General features: G+C 44.1%; 1 annotated feature.

Annotated features, from left to right (window-relative positions):
• Nucleotides 10,210-10,711: an enhancer, noted in NCBI's record as "H3K4me1 hESC enhancer chr10:111585419-111585920 (GRCh37/hg19 assembly coordinates)". NCBI's record gives its function as "activates a minimal SCP1, AML or CMV promoter by ChIP-STARR-seq in primed H9 embryonic stem cells {active_cell/tissue: H9 hESC(primed)}" and the evidence as "EXISTENCE:reporter gene assay evidence [ECO:0000049][PMID:30033119]".

The following is an 11,222-nucleotide window of genomic DNA, read 5'->3' on the forward strand; positions in this document are numbered from 1 at the left end:
TATTTCTTGCCTTCTGCTAGCTTTTGAATGTGTTTGCTCTTGCTTTTCTAGTTCTTTTAATTGTGATGTTAGGCTGTCAATTTTGGATCTTTCCTGCTTTCTCTTGTAGGCATTTAGTGCTATAAATTTCCCTCTACACACTGCTTTGAATGCGTCCCAGAGATTCTGGTATGTGGTGTCTTTGTTCTCGTTGGTTTCAAAGAACATCTTTATTTCTGCCTTCATTTCGTTATGTACCCAGTAGTCATTCAGGAGCAGGTTGTTCAGTTTCCATGTAGTTGAGTGGCTTTGAGTGAGATTCTTAATCCTGATTTCTAGTTTGATTGCACTGTGGTCTGAGAGATAGTTTGTTATAATTTCTGTTCTTTTACATTTGCTGAGGAGAGCTTTACTTCCAACTATGTGGTCAATTTTGGAATAGGTGTGGTGTGGTGCTGAAAAAAATGTATATTCTGTTGATTTGGGGTGGAGAGTTCTGTAGATGTCTATTAGGTCTGCTTGGTGCAGAGCTGAGTTCAATTCCTGGGTATCCTTGTTGACTTTCTGTCTCGTTGATCTGTCTAATGTTGACAGTGGGGTGTTAAAGTCTCCCATTATTAATGTGTGGGAGTCTAAGTCTCTTTGTAGGTCACTGAGGACTTGCTTTATGAATCTGGGTGCTCCTGTATTGGGTGCATAAATATTTAGGATAGTTAGCTCCTCTTGTTGAATTGATCCCTTTACCATTATGTAATGGCCTTCTTTGTCTCTTTTGATCTTTGTTGGTTTAAAGTCTGTTTTATCAGAGACTAGGATTGCAACCCCTGCCTTTTTTTGTTTTCCATTTGCTTGGTAGATCTTCCTCCATCCTGTTATTTTGAGCCTATGTGTGTCTCTGCACGTGAGATGGGTTTCCTGAATACAGCACACTGATGGGTCTTGACTCTTTATCCAACTTGCCAGTCTGTGTCTTTTAATTGCAGAATTTAGTCCATTTATATTTAAAGTTAATATTGTTATGTGTGAATTTGATCCTGTCATTATGATGTTAGCTGGTGATTTTGCTCATTAGTTGATGCAGTTTCTTCCTAGTCTCGATGTTCTTTACATTTTGGCATGATTTTGCAGCGGCTGGTACCGGTTGTTCCTTTCCATGTTTAGCACTTCCTTCAGGAGCTCTTTTAGGGCAGGCCTGGTGGTGACAAAATCTCTCAGCATTTGCTTGTCTATAAAGTATTTTATTTCTCCTTCACTTATGAAGCTTAGTTTGGCTGGATATGAAATTCTGGGTTGAAAATTCTTTTCTTTAAGAATGTTGAATATTGGCCCCCACTCTCTTCTGGCTTGTAGGGTTTCTGCCGAGAGATCCGCTGTTAGTCTGATGGGCTTTCCTTTGAGGGTAACCCGACCTTTCTCTCTGGCTGCCCTTAACATTTTTTCCTTCATTTCAACTTTGGTGAATCTGACAATTATGTGTCTTGGAGTTGCTCTTCTCGAGGAGTATCTTTGTGGCGTTCTCTGTATTTCCTGAATCTGAACGTTGGCCTGCCTTGCTAGATTGGGGAAGTTCTCCTGGATAATATCCTGCAGAGTGTTTTCCAACTTGGTTCCATTCTCCACATCACTTTCAGGTACACCAATCAGACGTAGATTTGGTCTTTTCACATAGTCCCATATTTCTTGGAGGCTTTGCTCATTTCTTTTTATTCTTTTTTCTCTAAACTTCCCTTCTCGATTCATTTCATTCATTTCATCTTCCATTGCTGATACCCTTTCTTCCAGTTGATCGCATCGGCTCCTGAGGCTTCTGCATTCTTCACGTAGTTCTCGAGCCTTGGTTTTCAGCTCCATCAGCTCCTTTAAGCACTTCTCTGTATTGGTTATTCTAGTTATACATTCTTCTAAATTTTTTTCAAAGTTTTCAACTTCTTTGCCTTTGGTTTGAATGTCCTCCCGTAGCTCAGAGTAATTTGATCGTCTGAAGCCTTCTTCTCTCAGCTCGTCAAAATCATTCTCCATCCAGCTTTGTTCTGTTGCTGGTGAGGAACTGCGTTCCTTTGGAGGAGGAGAGACGCTCTGCGTTTTAGAGTTTCCAGTTTTTCTGTTCTGTTTTTTCCCCATCTTTGTGGTTTTATCTACTTTTGGTCTTTGATGATGGTGATGTACAGATGGGTTTTCGGTGTAGATGTCCTTTCTGGTTGTTAGTTTTCCTTCTAACAGACAGAACCCTCAGCTGCAGGTCTGCTGGAATACCCTGCCGTGTGAGGTGTCAGTGTGCCCCTGGTGGGGGGTGCCTCCCAGTTAGGCTGCTCGGGGGTCAGGGGTCAGGGACCCACTTGAGGAGGCAGTCTGCCAGTTCTCAGATCTCCAGCTGTGTGCTGGGAGAACCACTGCTCTCTTCAAAGCTGTCAGACAGGGACACTTAAGTCTGCAGAGGTTACTGCTGTCTTTTTGTTTGTCTGTGCCCTGCCCCCAGAGGTGGAGCCTACAGAGGCAGGCAGGCCTCCTTGAGCTGTGGTGGGCTCCACCCAGTTCGAGCTTCCCGGCTGCTTTGTTTACCTAAGCAAGCCTGGGCAATGGCGGGCGCCCCTCCCCCAGCCTCGTTGCCGCCTTGCAGTTTGATCTCAGACTGCTGTGCTAGCAATCAGCGAGATTCCGTGGGCGTAGGACCCTCTGAGCCAGGTGTGGGATATAGTCTCGTGGTGCGCCGTTTCTTAAGCCGGTCTGAAAAGCGCAATATTCGGGTGGGAGTGACCCGATTTTCCAGGTGCGTCCGTCACCCCTTTCTTTGACTCGGAAAGGGAACTCCCTGACCCCTTGCACTTCCCAGGTGAGGCAATGCCTCGCCCTGCTTCGGCTCGCGCACGGTGCGCACACACACTGGCCTGCGCCCACTGTCTGGCACTCCCTAGTGAGATGAACCCGGTACCTCAGATGGAAATGCAGAAATCACCCGTCTTCTGCGTTGCTCACGCTGGGAGCTGTAGACCGGAGCTGTTCCTATTCGGCCATCTTGGCTCCTCCTCCTTAAAGCCATGTTCTGAGCTGGCAATTTCCTGTTAGTGACATGCAACTGTCAGAAGCAATGCCTGAGAGATGTCCTTGAGATGTTCCTTCAAATGGGTCATAAGTCCTTGTGGCTATGAAGGTTGGGAGGATGCAGCTCTGGCCTTCTTGTCTCAGAAATGAAGATGACATTATGATTTAAAGGACTAAGTAATTTCCTTGTCAGCAGAACCAGTGTTTTCTGCTAATGGAGGCAACCAGGGAGACTTGCTCTTTGGTCCCTCACAGTGAGGCAGGTCTTCATTGAGTTTGTTAGGACTGTACAGGGAAAGCTGGCAAATTCAACACAGCAACACCAGCGGCATCATGTATTATTGTTGCCACAGAATCCTATCATTCATCATCATCTAGAACTCAGGCATGCTTCTAAAATGGCAAACAGTTTTTTACCTGTGCCATCATAGTCTAGGAACTATAAAATGAATCACGAAGACCAAAAAGAAAAAAATGAATAAGCATTTTCCCTGCAATTTTTTCACCAACTTGTTATCAAAAAGCAAATAGCTTAGCTGGCATTCACCACAAGGGTTATGGCATGATTTTAGAGAAGAGATATATCTGGAAATGAATTTTTTCTGAATGTTTTACACCTAAATTTATGAGGGATATTGACAAGCAGGGCAATCGGTCAGGAATAAGTGAAACAAAGGATACTTTGCTGAATTCAAGGATTTACTAAATAACTTCACTGAGGCTTGCTATGCCCTTTCTCATCAAAGAACAACATTCAGATCCAAATATTGTGGAACAAAGAATGGGAGTGTGGGTTTGTTTGCAGGGAAAGTAAGAGGAGCCATCTGCTTCACCTTTGTTTAAAAATCATGAGGTTTGGGAACTGGAAGGGACCCTGGAGTCATCTAGCTCTGAGCTTCCCAACACTGAAGGAATGAGGTGCTAATGCCAGTGAGGGTAGAAATCAAAGGCAAACGTGGCTCAGCTTCCAGGACAATTCTATCCATATATAGCATTACTATATGTTAAAGCAAACACAGGTATACAATCAAGTAAAATGAAAAATGTGCCTGAACTTGAAAAATGGCACTATAAAAGAACTTTAGTGATTGAGGTAGCTGCTTTCAGCTGTGCTCCAAACCCACAGGCCATCTCTCTCTGCCACCAGGCATACCTCAGTGGAAATGTCAGTGCAGCATAGAGTGAATTGCCTCCTTGCCAGTGCTGTCATGATGAAAGGGGGTCCAGGAAAAAACAAGGTCTTGTCCAGGCCATCCTATGTCTATAGGCAGAGCTGGAACTAGGTTCCACTTTCTCCTCCTTCAGGGCCCTTCCTCTGACCCTCAACACGGCAAGAGGCTGCACCAGGAATTGTTGTATAGAACCTGGAGAGGTGAACCTGCTCGATCTTCCTTGCTCCAGCCAGGCCCTTTGGGGTAGAAACCAAATGGCTGGCTGCTCTTTCTGAGGAGGAATCATCAGCCCCTGGGCTAATGGTGCTGGGTCCTCATCCAGGAGTCAAGCCTTATCTCCTCTCCACCCTCCTGCAGCTTCTCTCCACCCTCCTGCAGCACTCTCCCACTCTAATAGAGCCAGCTTCCCTTCTCTCTGCAGGGATGGTTTTTTAAGAGAGATCATTCATCACTTCTCTCATTCATTCATCATTCGTTCACTTATATTTTGTGCATGTTGATGGAAATACAGAGCTAAGTAAGTCAGCCATCACCTATTCCCTCAGGACGCTTACAGTCTATTCTAGCAGGAAGACAGCCTTAATTAATATATATTCACCTCACACAGGGAGTACATCCTCCTTCCTCTCTTCACCTTCACCCACCAAGAGGCTTTTGTTTTTTTGTTGAGGTCTCACTATATTGCCAAGACTGGCCTCAAACTCCTTGGCTCTTCCCACCTCAGCCTCCCAAGTAGCTGGGAGTAAGGTGTATGCCACTGCAGCTAGCTCCCAGCAGGAGTCTTCATGACAAAGAAAGCAGTTTGGTTTTCCCACAGCCATCAGCTGGGGTTGCTCTGCCCTGGTTCCCTGGCCAAAGAAAGGAACCACCCCTTCCTGGTCCTGACCTACTCCCATAAAATATATCCACAGCAAATAATGGAACTGAAATTCTAAAACTGAGTTATTTTGGTAAATATTTGCCTGTCGATGGTGAAGCCTCGGGTTAACTTCAGGAGAACAAATCTTGGTGCTAAGACCAAGACTCATGGGCCTTTGTGTGTCCTGAGGACTTTTTCCCCTTGTTTCTTGGTAGTGTCTCCTGTCATCGGCCTCCCACCTGTGTCCATGGGTGTGGGGGGCAGGATGGAGATTAAGGCCATCCACGCCTGAGTGACCATCCTGCCCAGCAGTAACAGAGGTGGCTCAGGGGTGGCATAGCCAAGTGGCTTCCCCTTCTGGCTCCTCCATGAGCCAAACCCCTTTCTCTGGCCTCCCATGCCTCATGTCTCCCTGTACCCTGTGGAAGGGGCAGGCACCACCACACAGCAACCCTGCTCTTCCCCAGCCTTCCTAATAAGGGGGATTTCAGAGGCCGACCTGCTATGTGAAGTATGAGACTATGGCAGAATCATTGTGTATAAATACAATTCATGAGAAGTAGATTTTGTTTCAAAGCATCCCTCTCTCTTGCCATTCATTACACCTCTCCTTACTCTTTTAAAGCATGGCAGCAGCTTCCCCTTTCTGACTCGCAATAAGATGGGATTTTCTTTTCCAGGTCAGCAGCTGACAGGAGCCTTGCATTCTCAGAGACCTGGATCGGCACACACCTGCTGTGTTTCTGAGCGCACCTGCTGTGTGATTTCTCACCCAGATTCTCCTTGTCTGCTTGAGAGATTATGAAAACATGTGGTATGTGTACAGACAGTTCATTACTAGGTACTTTAATACTTACCATTTCACTTAATCTTTGCCACAATTCTGTGAGCATTTTCCTTCTTATACTGGGGAAGAAACTTATTCAACCAACGTAGACTGAATGTTTGCCAAGTGCCATCACCAGGCTGTGGGCAGAAAGATGAGCCAGGCAGACATCCTGTTTTTAAGACACTTACAGTCTGAAAGGGCAGGCAGCAAGTAGACAGACAATTATAATACCATGTGGCAAATGAAGCCCACTACCACCATTCCATCTTATATACATAGTATTAATAAATGTTAATGCTTGTCCTTATTCTTAATGAGGAAATTTTACTGTCTGCCCTCCATGATGAGACCAGGAAAAGATCTAAGGTGACGCTCTAAAAGAAACTGAAGAAAGACAATTTACTAAATGGACCTTAGAGGAACAGGGAAGAGGGCATTCTCGAAAGTGAGAAGATGTTATGCAAAGATCTGGATGATTCGTTTGCAGTATAGTGTGTTTAGGACACTTCATAGTAGGGGGCCTGGATGAAGTACTTGTCCAAGGTCCTGCAGCTGTTTAACCGCAAGTCTTGTGGTCAAGGATGGTTTCCAGAGCATCCTTCTCCCCGGCTGTAAGTGGCCAGACCCTCCCTAACACACTGAGCTTCCTGAGTGTAATGCTGCCTGACCATTTGCCCTCCAAATGGGTGCTCACAGCAAATCATCTCTGTGATTCTTGATTTCAAGCTGCATCTCTTTGGACAAGCCATCTCTATACACTAGCAAATTGCAATCGTTATGATCATAGTCATAACATCACAAGAATAATCAAATGCTGTTGAAACAAAATGTACCAATTTAGGCTAGGCTTCAGCTACTGTAATGTGCATTTAAATGTGTGCATAGTTATGATTTATTGTAAAGATGATGGCCTTCATGATTCCCCTAGAAGCTGTGATAGACTGCCCTCTATAATCTGGTTTTGTTTGGCAAATTTATCTCCCCTTCATCCATCCTCAATTTTGAAAGAGAGGGAAACCAACCCATCTGCTGTAATCTGAGCCTATGCAAACTAGGACAGGCTGAAGTCATGATAAACTACTAGTTGATAATTCCATTCAGTCTTCTTTTCACTGGCAGGACCAGATCGGGCTTCTGTAAATAAGCTTCCAACAGAAATCAGTTCAGCAACTCAGTCCCTGACACTTTCCTGAGGCTGCCCATGATCTACATTCCCCTGCCCTATGTCAGTTGGTCTCATGCAGGCTGCTCTGGTAACTTTCAGACTCGAAAGAACACAGTGTCTGCCACCAATTTTCTCTACAGAAAGGAGCAATCTGGTTGCAAGTCAGGGCCAGAGACTTTTTTGAAGCTATTATATTTGCATGGCAAGGACATTGGGCTTATTCAATTATGTGTTTATTTGAGATGGCGTGGAGAGAGCTGATGGCACAGTGTAATGAGAACTCTCCCAGATGACCCCTCAGTACTACTGTTGACAGCTGTTGTGATACCTCGCTACTTGTCTTCTTAGTTTAAAAGAATTTAAGCAAGAGACACACAGCAAAGGATATATATCTAGAATAGAATAGATTTATTCTATTCTAGAATAATATTCTAGCATTTACTCTATTCTAGAATATTCTAGCATTTACTCTATTCTAGAATAATATTCTAGCATTTACTCTATTCTAGAATAATATTCTAGCATTTACTCTAGTCTAGAATAATATTCTAGCATTTACTCTAGTCTAGAATAATATTCTAGCATTTACTCTAGTCTAGAATAATATTCTAGCATTTACTCTAGTCTAGAATAATATTCTAGCATTTACTCTAGTCTAGAATAATATTCTAGCATTTACTCTATTCTAGAATATTATTCTAGAATTTACTCTATTCTAGAATATTATTCTAGAATTTATTCTGTAGAATAATTTATTGCAAAAGTAAAAGAATATTTTGAAAGTTAGATGCAGAATAGACAGTACACCCTGAGAGAGAGAATTCAGAGAGGGTGACTCAGAAGGAACAGACAGCAAAGACTGGCGCTAGGGACACTCCCTTTATGGGAGTCTTATCTGATTATTCATAAAGGGGTAGGATGAGGTGTTATTAGTAAGCATGTCCTGGGTGGTCCTCTGGGCACACATGCACAGTAGCTGTCCATGCTTGTTCATACATCGCCTGTCTCATTAGCATCTTAAATCTCCACCCGGGGTGTGATTTTTACTATTATAATGAGTAAGGGGTCAGTTTGAGAACACATAAAATCAAAGTACACATGATATCTACAGGAGAAATTCCCTACTGAAGATATCTTTACTTTAATGAGCTCAATTACAATGCAATGCTGGGCTTATTATGTTGACTATACCATCACCATGGTTGCTGTGTCCTGAAGATATGGTCATTTTCTTGACTACCTATCCTGCCTCACTACTAGTAGGAGAACACTCACTTGAGAAGACTGCTTTGTTGTTCCCTCCCCATTTTAAATCCCATATTCCCAGGCAGAATTCCTCTCTCCATCTCTACAGCTACCTTGGCACTCTTCACCTGTATCTGAGCACTTTTTATAGACAGCCAGGTACTAGGACTGCTTGAGTTTCATGTATTTTCTCCATTATGAGATGAGCTCTTAGAGGACAGAGTGCCATAATTCTCTCTGCTTTCCGCATGTATGTTAGAGGTTCAATAAAACCTACGGGAGCTTGTCAAAGACAAAAATCAGATGAGTAAAGAGATTGATTTTATTCAGGTAATTGCAATAAGATGAAAAGATCTGAAGACCAGAATGTCTCAACAAGGTGGCTTTGCCTTAAACTTTTAGGGAAGGGGATGGAGGGTAAATAGCTTACAAAGGAGGTAATTTACAGTTGGAGTTGTTTTGCAAGCAGGACAAGTCTATGTTAGTTATCAGGCCTGGAATATTTTTCTCTATGGTTAACTAATTTCAGGGATACAAGCCATTCCAATCCAGTTAATCAAATATGAGAAAAAAAGAACAGGAGTTGGAGGGGCTGTGTCCAGCCTTGTCAGCAGGTTCAGACCAAAGAGGAAAGGTCTGTGTTTGGCCTTGTCACAGGGTAAACAAGGGAGCCACCCACGAGTCTTATGAGAGTCATGGGAAAGAATGGATTCTGAGTTTTATCCAAATCATATAAGGAAGGGTGTTCTTTACTGGAACACAAAAGGCTGGGGAGATTTCTCAACCATCACTCTTGCTCTCCAGGAGCACAGGGCTCAGGTAAAGTCAAGCTCATCACACTGAATGAAAGCAACTGTGCTGTATTCTTCACCCTCTCTCACTGACCTTCTTTCTATATATATTAATCTATATTGGCCAATAGTCTGCTCAAAGAAAGATTATTCACGTTCTCTCTCTCTCTCTCTCTCTCTCCCCCCCCCCCCCCATTTGTGACCCATTCAAATAGAGAACTAGAAAGAGAAGGCAGAAAGTTCCAAAAGAAAGAATTGCCTTTAAGATTATTGGACTTCAATAACTTTCAGTATAAATATCACACTGGTAATTTTTCCACTAGAATTGAAGATGTGAGAAGCAATGAAAATAAAGTGTTTCTGTGAGTGTATTGGGTGAAGAGACTGGTCAAAGGGGCTGTTCTCTGAAGAGCTAGAGTCAGGGAAATTATAAAGATTTGGTTGGTTCAATCCTGGTTTACTCTGCAGTGACCCCTTATTCACCACATCTAGAGTTTTGTGGAGCTGAATCCCATATCCAGGTTGTTTCAGCAACCACCAACCTATACTATGGTTCACTGAGTCAGGGATACTTTTGCAAGTCTAGCCTGCTCATGAGTTGAATTTTCTTTCTCCCTACACATTTCTTTTTCATAACATAGAGTTTTTGTGTATGTTTCTAGACTGGAGTGAAGAAAGGAGAATTAGGAGATTTGGACGAGACTTGTAAGGTGAGGAAGCTCTTTGAAAAACAAGCTTTGGCTCAAAATCTGGGCAGAAATTCTAGTTGGCTCTCCCCTTTTATTTTTAACTGGTTTGTTTATCCCTAACAAACAGTAGATGAGCAGTTCTGGGAATCATTATTAAAAACATTAAAAAAAGATAAGCCTGCATGTAAAGAAATCCTTTGCTGTTGTATTTGATGAGATGACATGTTTTATTCAAATACCCCATTACCTAGTAGAATCTTTGGCACATAGTAGGTGCTCAATAAACAGTGATTAGTTGATTGACTGAATGTATTAATTGCCTTTTAATGGTATTTATCTTTCTCCTCTCATAAGAGGACACAGCTGTACCTCCCAACATTCTTATGTGGCTTGTCAAAACAAAAACAGACTAGGCTTGAATTGGCCACCCTGATTAATCTGGTCTTGATATTTTTTCAGAAGCCATTTTTGTCATCAGTGTAGCTGGTGAAAGACTTTATCTGCAGGTACGGGGGATACAGGCCAAACTTGCCCAAAGGTAGCAAGGTGGATGCCCAGGCAGTGCCAATTCTTGGTCAAAAGTAAGAAATGTGGCAGAGGGGGAGGAGCCAAGATGGCCGAATAGGAACAGCTCTGGTCTACAGCTCCCAGCGTGAGCGACGCACAAGACAGAAGACGAGTGATTTCTGCATTTCCATCTGAGGTACCGGGTTCATCTCATTAGGGAGTGCCAGACAGTGGGCGCAGGTCAGTGGGTGCGCACACCGTGTGCAAGCCGACGCAGGGTGAGGCATTGCCTCACTCGGGAAGTGCAAGGGGTCAGGGAGTTCCCTTTCCTAGTCAAAGAAAGGGGTGACGGACGGCACCTGGAAAATCTGGTCACTCCTACCCGAATACTGCGCTTTTCTGACGGGCTTAAAAAATGGCGCACCACGAGATTATATCCCGCACCTGGCTCGAAGGGTCCTACACCCAAGGAGTCTCACTGATTGCTAGCACAGCAGTCTGAGATCAAACTGTAAGGTGGCAGCGAGGCTGTGGGAGGGGCGCCCGCCATTGCCCAGGCTTGCTTAGGTAAACAAAGCAGCTGGAAAGCTCCAACTGGGTGGAGCCCACCACAGCTCAAGGAGGCCTGCCTGCCTCTGTAGGCTCCACCTCTGGGGGCAGGGCACAGACAAACAAAAAGACAGCAGTAACCTCTGCAGACTTAAATGTCCCTGTCTGACAGCTTTGAAGAGAGCAGTTGTTCTCCAAGTACGCAGCTGGAGATCTGAGAATGGGCAGACTGCCTCCTCAAGTGGGTCCCTGACCCCTGACCCCTGAGCAGCCTAACTGGGAGGCACCCCCCCAGCAGGGGCACACTGACACCTCACACGGCTGGGTACTCCAACAGACCTGCAGCTGAGGGTCCTGTCTGTTAGAAGGAAAACTAACAAACAGAAAGGACATCCACA

Source organism: Homo sapiens, chromosome 10, assembly GCF_000001405.40.
Source record: "Homo sapiens chromosome 10, GRCh38.p14 Primary Assembly".
NCBI lineage: Eukaryota > Metazoa > Chordata > Mammalia > Primates > Hominidae > Homo > Homo sapiens.